This window comes from Homo sapiens, chromosome 12 (assembly GCF_000001405.40).
Source record: "Homo sapiens chromosome 12, GRCh38.p14 Primary Assembly".
NCBI classification, from domain to species: domain Eukaryota; kingdom Metazoa; phylum Chordata; class Mammalia; order Primates; family Hominidae; genus Homo; species Homo sapiens.
In genome coordinates this window covers 32,338,398-32,364,187 of record NC_000012.12, presented here as the reverse complement: position 1 = coordinate 32,364,187, position 25,790 = coordinate 32,338,398, and the positions used below count along the sequence as shown (strand labels likewise).

The 25,790-nt window shown below is 39.6% G+C and overlaps 1 protein-coding gene across 26 annotated transcripts in view, besides 1 other annotated feature; it reads right to left on the bottom strand.

Annotated features, from left to right (window-relative positions):
- The window catches only part of BICD1 (BICD cargo adaptor 1), a 276,787-nt gene that overhangs the window by 19,446 nt on the left and 231,551 nt on the right, over positions 1 to 25,790 (bottom strand). For 7 of the 26 annotated variants that reach the window (NR_148725.2, XM_011520814.4, NM_001714.4 and 4 more), the window contains exon 8: positions 25,209 to 25,402. The exons of 11 other annotated variants lie outside the window; for them this stretch is intronic. Coding sequence is in view for 14 of the 15 variants with exons in the window: in XM_011520814.4 (XP_011519116.1) it covers positions 25,209 to 25,402 (194 nt within the window). In the remaining variant the exon portion in view is untranslated. Of the gene's footprint in view, positions 1 to 8,858; positions 9,920 to 11,087; positions 11,097 to 15,784; positions 16,205 to 23,467; positions 25,403 to 25,790 lie in introns of those variants that run through there. 8 more of the 26 variants (NM_001413163.1, NM_001413160.1, NM_001354186.2 and 5 more) reach the window with 7 other exon arrangements.
- Positions 6,307 to 6,507: a silencer, noted in NCBI's record as "peak1665 fragment used in MPRA reporter construct". NCBI's record gives its function as "represses an SCP1 promoter by STARR-seq MPRAs in K562 erythroleukemia cells {active_cell/tissue: K562}" and the evidence as "EXISTENCE:reporter gene assay evidence [ECO:0000049][PMID:32103011]".

Here is a 25,790-nt window from a genome sequence, read left to right as displayed (position 1 = left end):
CCATTCAACAGTCAAGTTACTAAACTCCTATTTTGTGTCAGAAACTGTGTTAGGCAGCAGGGGGAAAAAGGTGAACAGAGAAAATGTGGTCTCTGTTTTATCAAGGAAGATAAGCATATTTAATAAGCAACTACATTGAAGTGTGATGGTGATGGTGATGATGGTGGTGATGGTGATGGTGATGGTGATGATGACAGCATCTAGTACTTATTTATTGTTTACGATGTCTCAGGCACTGTATAGGCACTTAATATACATGCTCTTCTATAACCCTGTTTTATTAATCTCACTTCATCTATAAGGAAAGGGGAACTTAGGTTAAGTAACTTGACAAACTCCACTAGGAGGTAGAGGTGCAATTTGAATCCAGGATTGTATGGTCCAAGGGCTGAGCTGAACTTGCAGAAGTATCACTGTATTGCCTCCTATGATAGGGAAAGTGTAGGGTGTTACAGGACCTCACAGCGGAAGTTAATTAAATTAAATTAGACTGAATCTAACTAATCAAACATAACTAAATCTAACTAACCAAACACAACTAAATCTAAGTGGTTAGGGAGTGCTTCCTGGAGGTTGTGATATCTAGGCTGACATCTAACATAATGAGTTAGTCAAATAACTTCTTTGTAACTACAAACTTTTTATGGTCTTTAGTAACAGTAATAAGACATTTTATCATAAAATTAAAGTGTTTATTTGAAATGATCAGAATGGAATTAGAAAATGCTGTACGTTTATATGATAAGGCCACAGGCTTGGGAAATGTCATAGCATACTCAAGAGATTATTTATGTATTTTTTTTAGAGGCCAGGTCTTGCTATGTCGCTCAGGCTGTAATGCAGTGAGTTCAAGTAATCCTCCTGCCTCAATCTCCTGAGTAGATGGGACTACAAGTGTGTACACTGTGCCTGGCTCAAGAGATTACTAATGCCTCCAGGGCAGGGATGAATATGGAATATTATAGCTCAAAGCATCTATAGGTCTGTCTCGATATGCACAAGAAGAGTACCCTTGTATGACATTCCTCCATAAACAAGGGCCTCACGTAGAAGGGAAGATAGAAAAGAAAGGGAGAAATAAGAGAGGAAAATATTTGCTGAATCAACATGATGTAATCTTTCCTATAAACTTTACATTTGTTATCTGTTTTAAGAGACAGGGTCTCTTAAAGCCTGGTCTTGAACTCCTGGGCTCATGTGATGCTCCCACTTCAGCCTCTAAAATAGCTGGGTCGACAGGCTTGCACTATTCCTACATTGAGGAAAATAAGTGTTTTTGATAATATGGGAGAATATCATAGTCTCACATATTTTTTTCTTTAACTTCTTTTTAAAATCTCTCCTGCTAGAAACAAACACAGAATTTGCCATCACAGTAGGTGTCCTACAAGCCTCCACTGATTAATCCAAGCTCAGCATGTGTATTAACTTGCCCAAGGTCACACAGTTAGGAAGTGGCGGAACAAGGATTTAAATTTAGTCTTTTTAATGCTAAGGCCTCTTTTCTATTCACTCCTCTGGATGCTTCTCAAATTGACACCAGCTACCTCTAGAAAATATCAGGGTCATAGAGTCAAAGAAACAGAAGGAACTTTGCCAGAGATTTGAGATACTGATTTTAAGGCAACCAGCGCTCTCAAAAATACAAAGCAAAATGAAGGGTACAGGAATGAAGATAATATTGTTTTTAAAAAGAGGTGGCTGAAAATAATACATTTCATTGGCAGAGAGAGAAAGTTTTGCTGTGTGGCTTTCTCTCGGGCTTCTATTATTTATAAAATTTTCAATGCAATTTAGAAAACTAACCAATTTTCTTTTTTTTTCTTTGAGACAGAGTTTCGCTCTTGTTGCCCAGGCTGGAGTGCAATGGCATGATCTCAGCTCACTGCAACCTCCGCCTCGCGGGTTCAAGCAATTCTCCTGCCTCAGCCTCCCAAGTAGCTGGGATTACAGGCATGCACCACCATGCCCGGCCAATTTTTATAATTTTAGTAGAGATGGGGTATCGCCATGTTGGCCAGGCTGGTCTCAAACTCCTGACCTCAGGTGATCTGCCTGCCTCGGCCTCCCAAAGTGCTGGGATTATAGGCGTGAGCCACTGCGCCCAGCCAAACTACCCAATTTTCTAAAAGTCAATGCCTTAGGGAGTCCAGGAGCCCACTGGTGGCTGTTTGGGATGGGAAGGAACAGCTCATGTAGGAGACAAGGAACACTTCTATGTTTTGGCTCCACACCTGGCCCAGATGGCAGCAGTGGGCACTGGTGAGCACCATGTGAGTGAAAGCCCATCTGTGGAGACCAAACCCAGCCACGATGAGTAGTGAGGCTGCAGAGGTGGCTTCTTTGGGCCCAAGTGCTCTGGGGCAGGCACAGCAGCAACTCTTTGTGGCAAACAGTCTCCTGTAGCATCGCTTGACTCCACCTCCTCATTTTCCTGACTTGAGAACTAATGCATCCCTACTTTTTCACAAGATCGTATTTTCCACACCACATCTCTTTCCCTCATGACCATAAACAACCTCCGGATGCTCCACGTGTTCCCATGAAAACTATCTCTGTCCTCTGAGTTCTCCTCAGGCCAAGTATCCAAGTTCTTCCTTTTTTTCTTATCTTTCTTTCTTTTTTTTTTTTTTTTGAGATGGAGTCTCGCTCTGTTGCCCAGGCTGGAGTGAAGTGACGTGATCTTGGCTCATTGCAAACTCCACTTCCCAGGTTTAAGTGACTCTTGTGTTACAGCCTCCAGAGTAGCTGGGATTACAGGCATGTGCTGCCATGCCTGGCTAATTTTTGTATGTTTGGTGGAGATGGGGTTTCACCATGGCCAGGCTGGTCTCGAACTCCTGGCCTCAAATGATCTACCCGCCCCGGCCTCTGAAAGTGCTGGAATTATAGGTGTGAGCCATCAGGCCCAACCCCATTTCTTCCTTTTAAGACGTGATGTCAATTTCCCTCACTCGTCTCCTTGCTCTCTGACCTTGTTCCGGTTTGTGCACATCCTTCTAAAAATGAGGTGATAAGAAAGGAAATCATGTGTGGTAAGATATGCCCAGTGAAGAGTACAGTGGCACTGTCTTGTCTTATCTGAGACATCCCAGTCCTATTAAAACAGCAGAAACCTCATGGCATTTTTGGGCAGCCACATCACACTGCTATTTCCATTGAGCTTTGTTTACAGGTAGTGCTATAAAGTCATTTTTCCTCCATCTTACAGTGCTTGGAATTCCAGCACAATATTTCATATCCATTTAAACTTTATGTTTAAAATACATGTGAAATATTTCGCCTCTTCCTATCTGATGAATATTTTGGATCCTATTCCGTCATTTAGCATTTATTTCTCTCTTAAATCAGAAAATATGAGAATCATGACCTCGATAGCTTTATGTAAGATTAGCAATTAATAATAAGGTCAGGCTAAGTGAAGACCATATTTCATAAATATAAGTCAATGAATTTGGACCCTTTGCACATATCATTCAATTAGTTATGAGTCTACACAATTATATTATCCTCTAGAATTGATTTCTCTATTTGTCTCAAGAATATTAAAAAAAAATGCCTGGTTAATTGCTTGCCCAAGTTCAGACACATTATTTTACCATTTCCCTGGTCTTATGAGATAGAGAATGTGGGTAGTCCAGTTCAAGTCATTCTTGATGAACTCACACTGGCTTTTAACAATCCCCATTCTATAGAGAGCATTTGTAATTCATCCATTTCCAGAAATTTGCCGAGGATGAGGCAAAGTTTGTTGGTCTACAGTTTAGAGAAACTTTTCTTTTCCACCGTGTAAAAACTATATTTCTACATTTCTTCTTCTGACATATATAGGTATTAATCCTCTTACTTAAATATTCTCTTTCTCCTTAGGCACCTCTTCCTCTATCTTTCATAAGTTCATGATTTTTCAGTCTCTTTCCTTCAACAAGTGAGAAAAAAAGGGACGTGTGCTTTCTTCTTTTCCTTTCCTGTTTTGAAAATGGGCAACTCATATATTCTTTTTTTTTTTTGAGATGGAGTCTCACTCTGTCGCACAGGCTGGAGTGCAGTGGTGTGATCTCGGCAAGCTCCCCCTCCTGGGTTCACACCATTCTCCTGCCTCAGCCTCCCGAGTAGCTGGGACTACAGGCACCCACCACCACGCCTGGCTAATTTTTTGTATTTTTAGTAGAGACGGGGTTTCACCGTGTTAGCCAGGATGGTCTCGATCCCCTGACCTCGTGATCTGCCTGCCTCGGCCTCCCAAAGTGCTGGGATTACAGGTGTGAGCCATTGCGCCCAGCCCACATACTCATATCCTTAAAAATAGGCAGGAGAAATGGAAGTTGATGATATAAGGAACACACACGCCTCTTGATGAGACTCTTAGTTATTATCTTTGCTAACTTGCTGTATTCTTCCCAAGACTGTCTATAAAAAAGGTTTAATAAATTTCTTTGAACAATTGCTATCATAGAACATGCTGCTATTATCTATTTGAAAGTAAATAGATTTAAATAGATACCACTGCTATGGTTTGAATATCCCCTCCAAAATTCATGTTGATACTTAATCTCCAATGTGGCAGTATTGAAAGGTGGAACTTTTTAAGAGGTGATTGGATCATAAAGGTCTGCTCTCATGAATGGATAAATCCATTCATGGATTAATGGATTCATGGGTTAATGGATTCATGGGTTATGATGGGAGTGAAATTGGTGGCTCTATAAGAGGAAGACAGACCTGACTTAGCATGTACAGCCCCCTTGCCATGTGATGCCCTGCACCACTTTGGGACTCTGCAGAGTCCCCACCAGCAAGAAGGCTCTCACCGTGACCTTGGACTTCTCAGCCTCCATAACTGCAAATGACAAATTCCTTTTCTTTATAAATCACCCAGTTTCAAGTATTCTGTTATAAGGAACAGAAAATGGACTAAGACAACCACTTTAGACCAAAAATCTTATAAACTTGGAGTAAACAGTCAATATTCATTAAAGACCTTTCAATAAGAACAGATGATTAACAGTTAGTAGAAAAGCAAGAACATTTAATTTTGAAAGCTGTTAAGTAGGAAATTGACAGAGAGTTATAGATTGTCCTAAAATCAACACGCCATGGTTAATGATCAAAGCACAGAGACATCCTCTTTTAGTCCTTATGGGAGGGAAAAGGATATCTCTCTTTCTTCTTTCTGCAAACCTGGCCATGTTCTTTCAAACTATTCATTAATAGGGATTTTAGGCAATGACAGAAAAGGAAGAGCGGGCAGAAGAAATGTAGAAGAAAGAAGGATGAGAAATAATGGTAATATGTAATGCTTATAAAAAGTGCTATATATATATATTTGCAGACAATTTGCATGCAAAAGCTCTTGAATCCTTGTAAAAACTCTATGAGATACATTTTATTTTTGTTTAGAAATGAGAAACTAAGTTTATGCAAGGTCACTTTCTGTATTACTTTTTTTTCTGAGGTGGAGTCTCACTCTGTCGCCAGGCTGGAGTGCAGTGGTGCAATCTCGGCTCACTGCAACCTCCGCCTCCCGGGTTCAAGTGATTCTCCTGCCTCAGCCTCCTAAGTAGCTGGGACTACAGGCATGCACCACCACGCCCAGTTAACTTTTGTATTTTTAGTAGAGACGGGGTTTCGCCATGTTGGCCAGGATGGTCTCCATCTCTTGACCTCGTGATCCGCCTGCCTCAGCCTCCCAAAGTGCTGGGATTACAGGCGTGAGCCACTGTGCCTGGCCTCTGTATGGCTTTTATAATGAACAAAAGCTTTTTAGTGCCTAGAAAACTCAAGTGAGTCCAGGCGCAGTGGCTCATGCCTGTAATCCCAGCACTTTGGGAAACTGAGGCTGGCAGATAGCTTCAGTTCAGGAGTTCAAGACCAGCCTGGCCAACATGGTGAAAACTCATCTCTACTAAAATAACAAAAATTAGCTGGGCATGGTAGGGCGTGCCTGTAGTCCCAGCTACTTGGGAAGCTGAGCCATGAGAACTCTTGAACCCGGGAGGTGGAGGTTGCAGTGAGCTGAGATCACACCACTGCACTCCAGCCTGAGCAACAGAGCGAGACTCTGTCTCAAAAACAAACAAACAAACCAAACTCAACTGAGATTGGTAGTCATAATGCCCATTTTACAGATTAGAACACTGAGGATCAGAAGGGTTAAGTGATTTTCTTAGGGCCCATGGAGAGAGTGGCAGAGTGAGAACTTGTGCCCAGGTTTCTGACTGTCCACCCACGCCCTTTCAGTGGAATGGCCCATGATGTTATAGACTGAATTGTGTTCCCCTAAATTCATATATTGAAGCCCTAACTCTCAGAACCTTAGAATGCAACTGTATTTGAAGACAGGACCTTTACAAGAGGTGACTAAATTAAAGTGACACTGTTAGAGTTGGCCCTAATCCAATCTGATTGGTGTCCTTGTAAAGAAGAGAGGATTAATACATGCAGAGAGACACCAGGGATGCAGTGCACAGAGATGCGAGGACAGTGAGAAGGTGGCCTTCTGCAATCCAAGGACGGAGACCTCAGGAGAAAACAGACCTGCGGACACCTTGATTTTGAACTTCGGGCCTCCAGAACTGTGAGAAAATTAACTTCTGTTGTTTAAGGCATCCAGTCTGTGGTCATTCATGATGGAAGCCCCAGCAGACTAACACAGCCTTTGATACTTGCTCCAAAGTAGAAGCAGTTAGTGCTCCTTCTTACTCTGCCGAGAGTACTTCTTCAGTCTAAATAAACCAAGAACAGCCCAAATTCTCTCAAATTATTCAAAATTAAGCAATCCAAGAGTTGAATTAAAAAGTTTTAATTCAAGGAAACTCAAAATGAAAAAGATATATACGAAAGGCAAGAAGCACAAATTAAGAAGGATAATCTGGGGCTGGGTGTGGTTGCTCATGCCTGTAATCCCAGCACTTTAGGAGGCCAAGGTGGGTGGACCACCTGAGGTCAGGAGTTCGAGACCAGCCTGGCCAACATGGTGAAACCCCATTTCTACTAAAAATACAAAAAATTATCCGGGCGTGGTGGCGTGCGCCTGTAATCCCAGCTACTCAGGAGGCTGAGGCAGAAGAATTGCTTGAACCCGGGGGGTGGAGGTTGCAATGAGCCGAGATCGCGCCATCACACTCCAGCTTGGGCAACAAGAGCGAAACTCCATCAAAAAAAAAAAAAAAAAAGCAGGAGAATCTGCATTCGAATTTAGCAGATTCCTTCTTAGCAAAAGCACTATAGACAGAAGTGTGAAAGTGGTCAAAACAGTGGTACTGGGGGAAACTAAACTGACGGGAGTGGAATGTCAGTTGTGTTAGTAGAAAATATAAATGTCCATATACTGTGCACTGACGTGGAGATAGAAAAGTTGCACAGTTATAGAAGTTTCCCACACCCAGGAATTCTGATAATAGCACAAAGGTGCTCTCCATAATCAGTTACTAACACACTTAGATGCACTGGAGTCTTAAGTGAGGGTACATCACAATAATTTCCTTGCATTTGCCAATGATGCTTCTGCAGCCATTTCCTATGGCATCTCAGCTTTCTTCTTTCTTTTTTTTTTGAGATGGAGTCTCACTCTGTCACCCAGGCTGGAGTGCAGTAGTGTGCTCTCGGCTCATTGCAACCTCTGCTTCCCGGGTTCAGGCGATCCTCCCACCTCAGCCTCCCCAGTGCCACTACGCCCAGCTAATTTTTTAAAACTTTTGTAGAGACAGGGTTTTGCCATGTTGCCAAGGCTGCTCTTGAACTCCTGCACTCAAACGATCCGCTCGCCTCAGCCTCCCAAAGCGCTGGGATTACAGGCATGAGCCACCGCGCCTGGCCCTCTTTATTCTCTATTCTCTCTCCTCTGTGCTCTTCAGCTCTTCTCCATTTCAGCATGAAATTTAGAGTCCATCAGAAAGATCTCTGTCTCTCTTTTAGATACCAGTTCCAACAACCAGTAGCTAGGGACACTGAAGAAGTGACTTAACTGTTCTTAGCCTCAGTTTTTCTATCCGTTTAAGTGAGAACATTAAATACCAATCTTGCAGGGTTCACGTGAAGATCAGGTGAGAGAATGTTTGTGAAAGCATGCAGCTCTGAGTCCATCAATTAGACATGATGGACAAAGGAAAGGGAGGAGTCGAAGGCCCTTAAGGTTTTCAGCTTCGAGAAACAAAGTAAATGCTATTAACAACAAGGAAATAAGAAAGGTCAAAATGGATCATAGGAGAAATTCATTTCAACAAGCTATCATTATATTCATCGGAAATGCTCTTGTCTATCAGACTATGCAAAGTCAAATTTCAGTCATTATTTCTGGCCATCCCAAAAGGAGGTGTCTGCTTCCTGCAAACTCCTTTAGCACTTCTCTCATCTCCTTCGGCATTTCTTTTTTTTTTTTGAGACAGAGTCTTGCTCCGTCACCCAGGCTGGAGTGCAGTGGCGTGATCTCCATCTCGGCTCACTGCAATCTTCACCTCCCAGGTTCAAGTGATTCTTATGCCTCAGCCTCCCGAGTAGCTGGGATTACACGTGCATGCTACCACGCCCAGCTAATTTTTGTATTTTTAGTAGAGACAGAGTTTCACCGTGTTGCCCAGGCTAGTCTCATACTCCTGACCTCAAGCAATCCGCCTGCCTCAGCCTCCCAAAGTGCTGAGATTACAGGTGTGAGCCACTGCGCCCAGCTTCCTTTGGCATTTCTTACAGAATTCTAGACCCCTGCTTCCCTTGCAGTATATCTATTCTCTCTAGCCACACTATGCAGCTCCTTGAGAGCAGGCAGGACCCTGCCTTATAATTCTTCAATTCCCCACAACACTTTGCTAGGGAATTTATGTGGTGCAAACCACCTCCCTTAAAAAAAATCCTTGGATTTATTTATTAGTATCATCAATGTCACTGTTTAATTAATTCACTTGAAAGGAGAGTTTACAATTTAGACATCCCTGTCATTGTAACAACATCTTTCTAACAAAAGGAATAAGAATGGATAAATATTATCTGATAAAGATTTTAAGGTTAATTTAGTGTTATCAGATGATCAATTATTCTTCTTTGGTAACTGTAGGACTTTAATATATAAGTCTTGAAAATAATTTTTAAATTGCCATCATTTAAGATGTGCCAAATAACATAACCAGTAAATTATTCCTCACTAAATCTACAAAATGATTAATAATGTTAGTGAATTAACAGAAAGGTTAATGGAAAGAAGCATCAAAATACATTCTCCTTGTAGTAACAACTTGAACATTTAAACAGTCCTATGAATTCCTAAACAAATAAACTGAAAAACACACATATAGAGTAGAGAATTTAGAAATAATAAGGAAAAACTGAGAAAGAAATATTATATATAAAAGAAGAGCATGAGATAGAAACATTTACATAAATATTAACAGTAGCTAGGAAAATAACTATTTTCAAAAATCTAATGATGAATTTAATGGTACACTGATATGAATAAAAATGGAGAGCTGTGAAGCACTGTCAGCATTTTATAATCAAACACATAGAGTTGGCTATCTCATCCCTTTTCACCAAACGTATTACATCCCCTGTTAAAACATCAGTTATTCTAAAAGTACCCACAGATGATAGTGTAATTTCTGACTTATCGGGTGAAATCTGCTAATTTATATCACCAAACACTTCAGACATATTTACATCAGTCTTTAACACAGCAAAGTCCATTATAGCGTATACTCTTGATAGAAACAATCATTCTTCGTTAAAAATTTCCAGAGAACAAAAAGAAGGAATTGTTGAAACACATCAAAAAATTTCAATATAGACAATGCAAAAATAAGACCTGGTGACAAATCTTAAAAAGCATCTGGTTCCTCCTTCACATAAATGACAACTGCATATAGTTCATCACACTTCAGTGACAAGCATGAAAGTCGTCTTCAGCGATGTAGAATGAGAGCATGCCTTGCTAAGTAGAGAGGGAGCATTTTTAGATTTTTCAGTGGTTATAGATTTGACAAAACCTTTCACCCATCTTCCCATTTGCTGTCCTGATGAATATCAGATGACTAGCTGATAAAACAAAGTAATATTCATGCAAAAATCTATTTTTATTTCAAATCTTGCAAAAGAGAAATATAAAAACGCCCTGCAGTACAGTCAGCTTTCTATTTCTGAACAACTTACAATTAAACCATGAGCATGTGTGTTATCAATAGCTTATGGTAGGAAAGACATGGAGGATAAATGGGGAGAGGGTAATTAAATACAGTGGCACCAAGAGGTAAAAGTACATTCTGCTGCCAGATTCTTACACCAGTTAAAAATCTTTCAAAAAATAACCTTCTGTTTAGAAATGACCTTCTCAAGAGCAAGGCCAGCTGGCACAGAGTTAACTCAAGGTGGTACGATGATGGTCTGTTCTTGTTAAGCAAAGTCAATAACAGCACATATCTAATGAAGACCAGCTGTACCTTTGAAATGTCAGAATTGATGCATCATCAAAAAGAAACAAAAGAGAAATAAGTTAAACTACAATCAAGAATCCACTAAAAAGATCAATTATAAAAATAGATCCCAAACAAGAAAAACATATGAGACACCACTCAATGAAATGTGTTTGATCTTCTTGTTTAATATTTTCTTCATTTTTTTTAATCATTAAAAAAAATCACACTAGAAAATATTCTGAGAGGTTCAGGGCATCTTCTTCTGTAAATCAATGGATCTGAAAATTACAGACTTTCACCAATGTCAGTTGTTTCTTGGCTTTTTTTTTCATTTTTAAGAAAATAGGAAAGACTTATAACATGTAATCCACATTTCTGGTGGGAGAAACAATTCAGTTATCTCAAAACTAAACCAAGTGTTTGAAAATGCCTTGTCTTCACAAGCAAATTAAACCGTAAGTATAACTTGATTAAAGGAAAAGCAAAATGTTTAAATACTAGATATCTTGAAAATCTAAGTTTACAGAAGATGCTTATTCATTTTCAAAGAAAAGAATAAGAATTTCCAATGACAATCTTCCTAATGTAAAAGTATTTGATTCACAGAAATTTAATTGAAGCAAAGCTACTCAGGAACAAATCTACTAAGAAAAATTAGGTTCACCTACAGGTTTATAGCCAACTTACCTCTTTTTGCTTTTGATGTCAAGTAGTGCATAAAAAGAGAAAAAAATTTATGTTTAACTGATTCTAATGTCAATACATAATGGCTTATTCCATAAATACCTACTCAGAGTAAAGGACCTCAGAACTAGTCTTTTAAAAGATCCTATGGTTAGAGGTGAAGCTTGGCCAGAAGCAAACGGTAGCCCTTCCTACTTTAAATTTCTTTCTTTTCTTCTTTTTATTTTTTAGAGACAGGGTCTTGTTCTGTCACCCAGGCCGGAATGCAGTGGCACGATCTCGGCTCACTGCAGCCTCTAACTCCCAGGCTCAAGTGATCCTCCCATCTCAGCCTCCTGAGTAGCTGGGATCACGGGTGTGCATCACATCCCTGGCTTCTATTCTAAATGTACATTTTCAGTTCTTCTGATCCAAACTGATCACAGACTAATTTTCTCTTTGTAGTAAGACACAATCTGAAGTGCAATGAAGAACTGGGAGGCAAGGCTCAGTTTAGAGCAAAAGAATGGACTAGATGACCAGCATCAGAGCAGCAAAAAAGTCCTTAAGATGAGGAAATGTGTCTCCTTAAACTAAAACACAAAACAAACCAAGAAAACACCAATTTTTTTTTTTTTTTGAGACGGCATCTTACTCTGTCGCCAGGCCAGAGTGCAGTGGCGCAATCTCATCTCACTGCAGCCTCCGCTTCCTAGATTCAAGTGATTCTCCTGCCTCAGCCTCCCGAGTACCTGGGATTACAGGTGCGTGTCACCATGTTGGCCAGAATGGTCTCCATCTCTTGACCTCGTGATCCACCCGCCTCGGCCTCCCAAAGTGCTGGGATTACAGACATGAGCCACCACGCCCGGCCAAAAACACCAATTTTTATATCCACTAAGAATAACTTTTTTTTTTTTGAGACAGAGTCTTGCTCTGTCACCCAGGCTAGAGTGCAGAGGCACGATCTCGGCTCACTGCAACCTCCACCTCCCAGGTTCAAGTGATTGTCCTGCCTCAGCCTCCTGAGTAGCTGGGATTACAGGCGCCCGCCACTGTGCCCAGCTAATTTTTGTATTTTTAGTAGAGATGGGGTTTCACCATCTTGGCCAGGCTGGTCTCAAACTCCTGACCTTGTGATCCACCCGCCTTGGCCTCCCAAAGTGCTGGGATTACAGGTGTGAGCCACTGTGCCTGGCCAACTTTTTTTTTTTTCGAGACAGAGTCTCGCTCTGTAGTCCAGGCTGGAGTGCAGTGGCGCCATCTTGGCTCACTGCAACCTCTGCCTCCCGCGTCCTGGTTCAAGCAATTATCCTGCCTCAGCCTCCTGAGTAGCTGGGATTACAGGAATGCACCACCATGCCCAGCTAATTTTTGTATTTTTAGTAGAGATGGGGTTTTACCATATTGACCAGGCTGGTCTTGAACTCCTGACCTCGTGATCCACCTGCCTCGGCCTCCCAAAGTGCTGGGATTACAGACATAAGCCACCACACCTGGCCAAAAATAACTTTAGTTAAAATGACAGTCCTGCTCTAGATCATTCTGCAAAATAAATTATGTATTTTCATATAAGTCTTAAATGCAAATTTTTCTTTTCTTTTTCTCCTTTCTTTTTTTTTTTTTTTTTTTTTTTTGAGACAGAGTCTTGCTCTGTTGCCCAGGCTGAAGTGCAGTGGGTACCATCTTGGCTCACTGCAGCCTCCACCTCCCAGGTTCAAGCGAATTCTCCTGCCTCAGCCTCCTGAGTAGCTGAAATTACAGGCGTGCGCCACCATGCCCGGCTAATTTTTGTATTTTTAGTAGAGACAGGGTTTCACCATGTTGGCCAGGCTGCTCTTGAACTCCTGACCTCAAGCGATCCGCCCACCTCGGCTTCCCAAAGTGCTGGGATTACAGGCGTGAGCCACCACACCTGGCCACAAAATTTTCAAGTTATGGAAGTTTTTTTTTTTTTTTTAAGTAATTATTTTAAGAGTAACAATCTAATCTAGTCCTGAGAACCATCACTGACTAATTCAATCACACAAGAGGGCCGGCTCCAGAAGCAGTCCCTCAGAAGATCTCATCTGTGGACTGGGCATACTGAAGTGACATAAATAATCTATATGCCAAAAAAGAGAAAGAAAATCTCTGGGATCCAGTAATGACTAAAGTTAAAATAAACTTGGCTATTGCATGTACAGTTCACAAAAAACTTTAAATTTGTGGTATGGAGAGTATATCAATGACTATTATTGGCTGAGAGGTGACAAAGGACAATGAATTTAGTGGTTCTATGGCATCTTTATGACTTTACACTTTTTGAAGAAAACAAAGAATGGAATAGTCAACCATTTTGAGTTGTGCTTTTCCTTTTTCCTCTCATACCTTTCAGGTAAAATACACTGGGGAAACTGCCAGGAAAATTGAATAAAATCAATAGATGACTAAAGAGATGGGTGTGTGGAGGACAGAACACAGAGATATGCAAGAGGAATCCCTGAGGGTGGCAGCGATGCTTCCCTGCTCTATAACGAGTGTGGTGCACTAGGAATCTTTGCTGGTTGATGAGCTATATAAGTTTAATTACTAGGTCACTTTAAGTAGTCTAGGTATAAGTGCTATGTAACTATATTTTCACTACATCATTTCTTTCTTTCTTTTTATTTATTTATGTAGGCACTGTCACCCAGGCTAGAGTGCAGTGGTGCAATCACAGCTCACTGCAGCCCCCACCTCCTGGGCTCAAGCAATTCTCCCACCTCAGCCTCCCCTGAAACTACAGGCACACACCATCATGCCTGGCTAATTTTTGTTTTTTTTGTAGAGACAGGGTTTCACCATGTTGCCCAGGCTGGTCTTGAACTCCTGGGCTCAAGTGATCCACCCACCTCGGCCTCCCAAAGTGCGGGGATTACAGGCATGAGCCACCACGCCTGGCTCACTACATCATTTAAAATAAAGGAATGGGAAGTAGCAAGCCTGGGCCTTCCATGAACATTCTAACTACACATCAGTTGAGCTATGCTCACAGCCGGAGCTCAGGCTGCCCCTGCCCAACTCCCTTAGAGCTCAGGAGAGCCACTGAAGCCAGATTTAGTGTGTAGAAAGGTCAATTTTCCTAACCGTTTACAATGCCTCAGAGGAGTTTAGGTGGCTGTCATGTTGACGGACATTCCAGAATTAAATCAGTGGCTTCCATATTCCATGTAACAATATACTTTTAGATATGTAATGGTATACTTTTTTAGATATCAAATCCCACCCATTTTGACAGAGAAATCAAAGTGTTGGCACGTTGTCAGAATTCAGCAAGAACTCAGGAACATCACTACTCCTTCCTGCCTTGTCTACTCAGTTCACAACACACAGTCACTTTAAATCATCAAAAAAGTTTGTTTTATATATTAGATAATGGGAATTTTCCTTTTTTTAGGGGGGAAGAAACATTCCCTTTTCTTGGGAACTATACTATATGGTATAGTATGCTGTTATAAGCATACATGTTATAAGTATGGTATAGTATGCTGAGATATCATAACATTTATTTAGAAGCGTAGATTTTACACAGTGACCTCCAGACCCAGTCATGGACAGAATAACTTGAATTCATAGCATCAGAGAGTCTCAGAGCTGGGAGATGCCCTTCCAGGATTTCTTCATTGTAGGCTCTCCTTTCACATTTATAAGGAGAAATGGACAGGGAAGTAGTTGGTTAACCTAGAGATTGGCTTCTCTGGGTACCTATTGTGACTTTCTCATAATATGTTTTCTTAGTATTCTTTGCAGATAGAAGTCCCTTTGCAAGGTACAGTTTGGATATACCCTCTCAGATAATGCCTTATAATCACTGTTGTAATAGAGGTGGTTGTTATGTAGTTACAGTGGGGGCAAACAGTTGAATATAATAGACTGGTGCCAGCAGATTGGATTAAATAGGTATGAGTACAGCACAGAAGATACGGATGGCTCTCTTCCTCTGGACTACAACAAATGGCCCTAGCTGCCCACCAGAACTCTTCTTTGCTTGCAGAGCTTTGGGATATGAAGGCAAGGGAATGTTACAGGTAGATTGTTCAGCACCCAACTCCCTGGCACAAAGGATACCAAAGAAACTGTGGATTTGGTGTTGTAGGCTAGTGATTGCTGGTTGGTGGAATACGGGCTATTCTCTGTCTTGAGGGTGGACAGCACACACAGGTAGAAGGTGGTAAGATTAAAATGTATAATTGTTTTATTCTGGATTTAGACTAGTTTGTTGTTACTGGGTGGAGGCTGGTCACTTCAGTGAGCCTGAGGCAGGATCTGTGATCTAGAAACGAACCCCAGTAATGTCTCTTTCAGCTTGAGTATCTGCCTGCTGATATATATATATATATATATATATATATATATATATATATATATATATATATATATTTTTGTGTGAGCTAGAAAGCATCATTTCGGGTTTGGGCAGAGTCAGGAGAGGCAGACAGTTATTGCCTGGAATGTCCTGGGCCTCATGTATATCTCAGCCCACCTGTTCCTCCCTGTTACTCCTCCGGAAACAGCCACCTTCTGAAGGCCGCTATCCTCAGCAATGTATGGGTGGACTTAGGTGAACATAAGTATGAACTAATTACTCTTGCTCTTAAATATGTAACAATTAAGAATATCAAATAAGTACTTCTTCTTTCACTTTATGGATATATTAGAGAAAAATTATAGTTTTTCTCCTAAGGATTAAAATAAGGAACTTTCAATTTCCATGGATTTAATAAAATTTTAACAAAATCTAAAAGACTTTAAAATTACATAATGGTACTAAAATAGTCAATATGGATTGAAAAGTATGATCTAATATAAAATACACATTCTTGCTACAGAGTTTTTCATGTTGATCTCTTCAGTAATTAAAAAGTTTCATCCTTTCATCATAGCTTATTTTGCATACAATGCTCAGGTTTTGAATATGAAATCTTTTAAGGAAATGTAATTTCTGGACAGGAATACTGGACAGAGGAGAGAACAGTAAACAAAAACAAAAATAAAACAAAATAAAAACACGAATAGGACCATGGTCATCAGATGTTCTACTAAGTATTGCATTTTTGTCGAATGGGTCCAATTTGTAGCATGGAATGGTTTACTCAGTATTATCTTTATCTTCTCTCTTACTGTGGGAAGAAGGAAGGCACAAGAAATAATCAACCTTGAAAGACTTTGATGTGTTTTCAGTCTATATATATGGTATCAATAAATTCTGCTATTTAAAACTGGCAGGATGCATTTTAAACCTTTTTAAGGCACTCTCTGCTTAAAATAAGAAACATGGGCTTTTACAACTTCATTACGGTAATTAAAAAACTAAGTCATTATACTGTTTTAAGAATGTTTAAGGAATATGTTTTGTTAGGATATACCTAAGTAATTAAGTTTTTATATTGACAAGGAGATCTAGTAACAAATAAGAGATGTATGAAAAGGGTATATAGGTACAAACTTTTTCTTTTTTTTTAATTGAGATGGCGTTTCGTTCTTGTTGCCCAGGCTGGAGTGCAATGGCGTGATCTCAGCTCACTGCAACCTCCACCTCCTGGGTTCAAGCGATTCTCCTGCCTCAGCCTCCCAAGTAGCTGGGATTACAGGCACGCACCACCATGCCCAGCTAATTTTTGTATTTTTAGTAGAGACGGGGTTTCACCATGTTGGCCAGGATGGTCTCGATCTCTTGACCTTGTGATCTGCCCGCCTCAGCCTCCCAAAGTGCTGGGATTACAGGCATGAGCCACCACGCCTGGCTCAAACATTTAATATGTATCTATTTTAAAAAGCACTGCCACCAATCAGAGACAAAGCAGAATCAGCAAAATAGCACTTTGGTCTATGTCAGTTTAAAAGAAAAATGAGGGCAGGGCGCAGTGGCTCATGCCTGTAATCCCAGCACTTTGGAAGGCTGAGGCAGGAGGATCAACTGAGGTCAGGAATTCAAGACCAGCCTGACCAACATGGAGAAACCCTGTCTCTACTAAAAATACAAAATTAGCCAGGCATGGTGGCACATACCTGTAATCCTAGCTAGTTGGGAGGCTGAGGCAGGAGAATCGCTTGAACCTGGGAGGCGGAGGTTGCGGTGAGGCAATATTGTGCCATTGCACTCCAGCCTGGGCAACAAGAGCAAGATTCTGTCTTAAAAAAAAAAAAAAAGAAAAGAAAAGAAATAAAACCGAAATACATGCCATCTTAAATTTTATTTTAAAATCAGTCATTAGTTATTCAAATTTAGATTTCTGTGTGGAAATTCTATCTAGTTAAAACTAAGAAGTTCTAGAACTGCACCGTCCAACACAGTAGCCCTTAGCGAAATTAGGCTGTTGAGCATTTGAAATGTGGCTAGTTCAAATCAAGATATGCTGTAAGTGCATAATACTGAATTTCAAAGACTGAATAAGAAAAACAGAATGTGTATGTATGTGTATGTGTGTGTGTGCGTGTGTGTGTGTATATATATATATATATATACACGTATATATATATATATATACACGTATATATATATATATATATATATATACACGTATATATATATATATATATATATATATATATATATATATATATATACACGTATATATATATTTTTTTTGACAGGGTCTCACTCTGTCACCCAGGCTGGAAAGAACTAGCACAATCCTGGCTCACTGCAACCTCTGCTTCCTGGGCTCAAGCGATCCCCACACCTTGGCCTCCTGAGTAGGTGGAACTACAGGCATGCACCACCATGCCTGGCTAATTTTTGTAGTTTTTGTAGAGACAGGGTTTCACCATGATGCCCAGGCTGGTCTCGAACTCTTGGCCTCAAGGGATCCACCCACCTCGGCCTCCCAAAGTGGAATTATAGGTGTTAGCCACCTATGAATTCCATGTTGAAATGATCACATTATGGATATAGTGTGTCAATTAAAATCTACTACTAAAATTAAGTTCACTTGTTTCTTTTTATTTATTTTTTGAAACAGGGTCTTGCTCTGTCACCCAGCCTGGAGTGCAGTTGCACGATCATGGCTCACTGCAGCCTCAATCTCCTGGGCTCAAGCAATCCTCCCATCTCAGCCTCCTGAGTAGCTGAGAGTACAGGCGCATGCCACTATGCCCGAATAATCTTTTTATTTTTTGTAGAGACATGGTTTCGCCATGTTGCCCAGGCTGGTCTTGAACTCCTGGGCTCAAGTGATCCTTCATTTTGGCCTCCCAAAGTGCTGGGATTATAGGCGTGAGCCATGGTGCCTGACTTCTTTTTACTTTTTCTAACATGACTACTAGACTACTAGAGAATTTAAATTTACATATATGGTTTATATCATATTTCTATTGAATAGTTCTGAATAGAAACATTCTTGTAGCTGTCATTTTATCATTTGGCAAGAAATATTTCTATTGCACACATAGAAACATTCCAAGCTTTCTTAAAGAGCTCAAGCATGTCTTCCTTCCCCTTCATAACTTCTTCTGACTCAAAAGAAACAAAAAGATAAATGTATAGGAAAGAAGAACCCAGATACATCAAGTGAAAAAAACCGGCATGCATAATGTCTGTGGTTGTGCCAATGGTATTAACACATATGTAAAATGCATATGTTTTTATATATGTATATATTTATATGCATTTCCTTATATATGTATAGAATGTTTCTGGAAAAATACAAAAGGTTGGGTGGGCACAGTTGTGGCAGAAATCTACCATCTACTGTATACCCTTTGTACTTTAAAATTTTTGAACCATTACCTATTGAAAAATATACAGCAAGTATAAAAATGTATTTCTCAACATGTGGTTGACAATTTTGTGAATTAATATATTTTTTCTTCTTTTTTTTTTTTTTTCTGAGACAGGGTCTCACTCCATCACTCGCTGGAGTGCAGTGGCTCACTGCAGCCTCGACCTCCCAGACTCAAGCAATCCTCCCGCCTTAGCCTCCTGAGCAGCTGGGACTATGAGTGCATGCCAGCACATCCAGCTAATTTTTAAATTTTAATGTAGAGACGAGGTCTCGCTATGTTACCCAGGCCAGTCTCGGACTCCTGGGCTCAAGCAATCCTCCTGCTTTGGCCTCCCGAAGTGCTGGGGTGACAGGAATTAACATTTTTGATTTAACTTTTGTTTTGGCAGATTCCAAACTAAAGACAACATGTTCTGACATCAAGAAGTGCCCAGGCCTTCCCCTACAGGGAAGAATTCTGTGGAAACTATGTTCAAAGAAAATACAAGCCTAAGAGATTACAGGTTTCAACAGACTGCCCTTCACTCCTACTAGTTCAAGAATTGAATCCTGTGGAAAAAGACAGTTTAGTGATATGGGGAAGTGGAATACACATAAATAGAAAAGCCTCTATAGGAAAAAATATAAATTATAAAGTACAAAATACTGAGGCCATGAGTTCAAGATTGACTGATCTCCTTCCACATACAGAACATGGAAAGCAGTAAGAGCAGGTCGTGTGTGCACAGGACATGCTGGCTGATGAAATATGTAACTGAATTGTAACTTGGGACATATTTAAACATTCCTATTCCTCACAGTTTTGATTCTGGTCTCCACTACCTCTCATCTGCATATTTTATGAGTCTCTGTACCTGCTTCTTTATCTTCGATGTTACCCACATCTAATCCACTCTCCACCTTGTCATCAGGGTGATTTTATCAAATGAAAATCTGATCCTATTCTTAAAACTGCTAAGCTATGCCCGTGGTAAGTCTGCTCTCACTAACCTGGCCCTCTGTCTTCAGGTCCCTGTCCACCTTTGCAGCCTCGCTTTCTATTACTTCGAAGTCCTGCACCAGGTTGTAGTGCTGAGCTCATGGCACTGGGGCAAGTTGACCTCCTTTCCTATAAGGTTCTTCTTACGACCCATACCTGCGCTGCCACCTTCTGCCTATTACGATATAGTCACCTTTCATGGCCAGCCTTGCATTTCTTCTGGAAGGACGTTCCTAACCATCCTAATTCCTTTATTTATTTCAGGAATATCTATTAACATCAGTACATATTTGTCTCCTACCTCCCCTACCAGACTATGAGTTTTATTTGAATATCATTGTATATCAAGAGCCAAGAAAAGTGCCTGACACATAGCAGATATTCACTAAATTTTGTTACATTCTGGTGAATGAGTAAATGGATTAATGAAATAAATGTGATTTTGGTACATGCTTAAGAACATAGGCTTTGCAATACGTGAAACAAACAAATATCTACTTGCTTGAATGCAGTGAAACATAAAGGCAGTTTTTACTATGAACATGTCAGTGTGTACTGTTGACTATATATCTCAAGGGGTGATTACGTATCTAAGGCTAATACACTTCTGTGAGTTGCTTTAAAGATCAGTAAAAAGCAAAATATCACAGAAACATTTTCAGACTTCAAAATAATACCATTCTCTTAAACTAGCTGAGTCATTGTGTCAGAGAAAGACAGGAGGGAGGGATGGAAGGATGGAGGAACAGAAGGAAGGAGGAGATTGAAATGAGAGGGAGAAGCAAGATACCTAAGAGGAAAAGGGTGACATGGGAAACACAGTGTGAAGAGCAAGCTGCTTAGGCTATTACTTCCAGATTGAGTTCAAACTTGCTTCCCCAGGTTTGCCATTTCCTATTTATCATGTGTAAATGCTGCAGTCAGGTCTTTACTACAGAAATAACAACTCCCGCCTGTGAATTACATGGATTCCCTTTACGTATTCTGACAGGCTGATTGCAATTATTGATTAAATGGTAAGATGATGAGGAGGAGGAGGAAGAGGGGACGGAGGAGGAAGAGGAAGAGGGGACGGAGGAGGAGGAGAAGGATATAGGCCTAGGTAGTTAAGGAGTCAAGATAAAATGCTGGCTAAAAAATAGGCAACAATTTTGTGAAGACATACAATCTGCTGTCCAATTACAAACTCCTTGATGACAACAGGGTCCCTTTTGAGTCAAGGTCATCAAGGCTGATAGGCACTTCTCAGATCAGCTGGTAACTGAAACTGTGAAAACTAAGATGAGCATGTGGAAGGACACTGGAATTTGTGTGCCAGGATAAGGATAAAGTCAAGAACAAGAAAGTTAACAAGCAAGCCATGGCCAGAAGCACTGCAATTGTAAGGGCTGAGGTTGCAGAAGCTGAGCCAGCCAGAGGGAAACGCCAGAATTTTCCCTTAAAAGGTTGTACTAATGCAGCAAACCGATCAGTATAATGCATTAATCAATTACTATACAATATTCTACTAATGTTGAAAATCAGTGCCTCACCCTATAGTTGATTCTCCAGAATGGAGAAATTGTGCATTTAAGGAGATGAGGCTTTCTGTTTACCATCTCATAGAAATAAAATCTATTTGAAAGTAACTCTTGTACAGAATAAATAACATTTTATGTTCTGTGTCTTAAATTTTTAAACGACACATACCTCTCTCAATTCTTCAACTGAAGGATTAAAAACAAATTAAACTGATTTCATTTTTAGTTGAGGTAATTGTTTCAATGGTCCTCAATAGAAAAATAAAGCCCATATCTGCTTATTAGAATAATTAAAAATCATCTAAAAAGATGTACTAAAAATATATTTTAGGCTGGGCACAGTGGCTCACGCCTGTAATCCCAGCACTTTGGGAGGCCGAGATGGCGGATCATGATCAGGAGATTGAGACCATCCTGGCTAATACTGTGAAACCCCATCTCTACTAAAAATACAAAAAATTAGCCAGGTGTGGTGACGGGCGCCTGTAGTCCCAGCTACTCGGGAGGCTGAGGCAGGAGAATGACATGAACCTGGGAGGCAGAGCTTGCAGTGAGCCAAGGTTGCGCCGCTCCACTCCAGCCTGGGTGACAGAGGAAAACTCCGTCTCAAAAAAAAAAGAAAAAAAAACAAACCCCCAAAACTATACATATATATATATATATATATATATATATACACACACACACATATATATATACACACATATATATATACATATATATACACACATATATATACACACATATATATATACATATATATGTAAAACAATGCTTATCAAAAACATTCTGATACATTAATAGAGAATTTTCCTTTTAAAATGATTAATAGATATTGTTACTAGCTAGCAAATTTTATAATGGTTAAACTCCTGAATTTAAAAATACTCATAAAATCTACTATTTCCCATGGGCTTATGATATTTCTTATATAGAACATAAGACTGGTATTATATGTCATATTTTCTCTTTCTTGGCTTATTGAAAAGATTTTATATAGTAAAAGCATCATAAAAAATGTTTGATATGTCTTACCCTATATAGTTCAGCTGAGGGAAAATAACATATATTGGTAATAATGCAGATATTTGTAGAAGCTACAATTTATTTGGTGTGGATGGTCCGTCACTTTCTGTAGTAATTCATTTAACTAGGACCTTTTAGAAAATGTTGCTAAGATTGATTTGATAATAATTTACTAAGCGTTAATCTGGTTGATTCCACGATACATAATTAAAAATTCCTAAGGCTATAATAACAGCTTTACTTCCTTTCCTCTTTTATTATTTTAACTTTACATAAATGGTGAGAATTATAAAGGTTATCAATATGTTAAGCTGTCATTAGCATGACCTTCTGGTCTGGTGATTATTCTGAATTCCACATTCCTTATATCTCTAATTTTTTTTTTTTTTTTGAGACAGTGTCTCACTCTGTCACCCAGGCTGGAGTGTAGTGGTGCGATCTCGGTTCGCTGAAACTTCCGCCTCCCTGTCTCAAGGGATCCCACTTTAGCCTCCTGAGTAGCTGGGACTACAGGTGCCCACTACCACACCTGGCTAATTTTTGTAGAGACGGGTTTTCACCATGTTGCCAAGGCTGGTCTAAAACTCCTGAGCCCAAGTGATTCACCTGCCTTGGCCTCCCAAAGTGCTGGGATTACAGGTGTGAACCACTGCAGCCGGCCTCGAATCTCATAAATAGTAATCATTTCTAAGGTCAATGGTATTTTCTGGTTATTCAAAACTAAAGAGTTTAAGACAATATATGGTACTCTCATTCATGTATGCTAACTGACTTTAGAGTTGTAAGATGTGCACAGTGTGGATAAAGTAGCAGAAAGATTCCCAATGTGGGAAAAAGGGAAAGTGTTTTATGGGCTTTTAGTACATTGATATACCCTTCTTGACAGCAACATCAGAATGGAGCAAAAAACATAAGGATGTTCAACTTTTAACTGAGTGATCTCACTCTTGAGAAAAATGTAATAGATGAGAAGCTGAATGCATGAGGGTATTCCCAGCAGTGCTCTATAATATAACAAATAATGAAAAACTACCTCAGTGGACAAGAAGAGAAGTAGTGATTAATGTGATAACAGCATCTGAAACAAAATCTATGATACAATAACTTTAACAAATAAAAACAAGACTAGATAGCAACATGGAAAAGCTTGTGATATAATGTTCATGGCTTAAACAATGTAATGATAACAATATAAAGTATATATTCATGTAAACAAAAACCAGTCATACAAAAATGAAAACAGTTATTGTTGTTAACATTGATTATTAATTTTTAACCTTATTGAGATGTTATCTTTTTAATTAAACAGCAATAGGAGTTATTTATTAATCATACCAATTTCTTTTCTAAGTTCCAGTAGATAGTGCTACTAAATCCATTTGGAACACTAAAAAGAAGACTTGTGGGTTTTATCCGAGTTAGGTATCCTGATAAATCATTACCACTTTGGTGATTCACAGAATACTTCAAGGTACCTTCCAAGGAGGTCTAAAACAATAGGAAATCAGTTATGAAATTAAAAACACCAAGCAGTTTTTACTTTTTTTCTTCTTAGGTGTATATTTTGGCTATTACACCATTCCAACTCATTATCACTACCAATTTCCTCAAACACCTTTAGAACGTGAAATGCACTATCAGTTTCTACACCACATCTTTTAATCCCAATCAGTAGGCTGACTTCATGAATCAGATAAGGAAAGTATTAGAGATCCAAAGGCTGAGGTTTGCAAAAAGGAATTAAGGTAAAATGAAAAAAAAAATTCTATTTCAACGGTGGCAAACTCAAAGACTACAGGAGGGGCCAGGAGAGAATAGAAATGAGGATAGCAGGCTGGGTATAAGTAATAAGGAGGAGTGGTGACTGTGGCAAAGTGCGAAGCTTGCCCTAACAGCAGCAGCCACTACAGAGCTCCAACAGGTGTTGACATGCGTGAACGCAGACCTAGGGCTGCCAGATATTCAGAATCTTCCAAAAGAGGCCAGAAATACTGATGTTCATATAAAATCTCTTGAATTTTTAACTGTCAATAACTAACTTAAATAGTTTTATTTTTTATTTTCTGGCAATAGTCAAATAACAGCTGCCTTTAAGCTTACTTTGGTTTATGGGCTCCTTGTTTGCCACTTCTGCCCTATACTCACATGCAGGGATTCCTTAAAAGGATGATTTTTATTTGCAAGAATAATTTTCTCTATTTGCCATATGTCACATTTTCAAGTTAGGCCTCTTCATAGAACAAGTAAAAAGAATGAAAGGAAGGAAGGAAGAAAGAAAAATGCAAAATAGTGAAGCTAAGTGTGAACATGTTGGTAAGCATTAACCAGTGGGGGGCCTGCAATCTACAAGAACATTATACTAAGACCTAAATGTTCTTGAGGAGCAAAATCTTAGAAGGTTTTACTTTTATTCTCAATATAATGATTGAGGAGACGTTCTGAGTCACCACAAAAGGAAATCAGCCCAAAAGCCTTGTTATACATATGGCTCTCCCTTTACGGAAATTACATTAAAAACGATAAGAGAGAACTGGCCAAATCTGACCAAGATGGAATCGCCATGAGCTACCAAACTGCAAATAGGATCCAAGTGTGTGTGCGTTGTGCTTGTTGCTAATTTCCCTTTACCTATCCCATTCCTTCCAACTCTCATTTGCCATCTTTGGCTGTTAAATGGAAGTCTGTCATTCTAAGGAATATGAGTGAAGGAGGAAATGGGAAGCTAAGTGTAAGGAAGTTTTTACTTGACTTATAGGAATTTACACATCATCAAAGGTATACTCTGCAGCTGGGTGAGCCTGAGTGACCGGAAGGAAGGGGAGAGTCTATTCAACTAATCATTTGCATCACATGCACCCAAGGAAAAAATGTTTACCTGGTGGAGCCACGGTTAACCTTTTTTCCTTGCTGAGCCGGTGCCCTTGGATGAATTCACTCATGGAAGGGGGGCCCTTCAGAAGAAATGATTCTGTGGAGGTGGGATCAGGGGGAACTCTTAATAAATTCTGTAGGTAGGAAGCCCCTGAAGTCCTGGGACGGCTCTGATCACAAAGGGAAGGTGAAAATTGTCTTGCAGGAGATCCAAGAAAAATACATATAGGAAACAAAAAAGTTTTACTTTAATTACCTTTTAACGCCTCACCAGTGACAACATTATTTATACTGGCATTTAATTTTTTAAATATGTAAATCAATCTTTTTGCTTTTTTTTTTTTTAGTTTCCACATCAGGATACAACCCTATTTGGAAACTGTTCTGGATACTGGAAAAAAGATTTATTACAGTTAGTCAGCTTGAACCGCAAATAGAAAATATATTATTTGAGTCTTTAATGAAAGCTCCTAAAATAAAAATGTTACCATTAACCGAAAATACAGGGTAAGTAACTCAACAGCCAGGACTCACAAAATCAAGCCCCTAAAAACCTTACAAGTGGTTTCTCTGGGCAATATTCCCA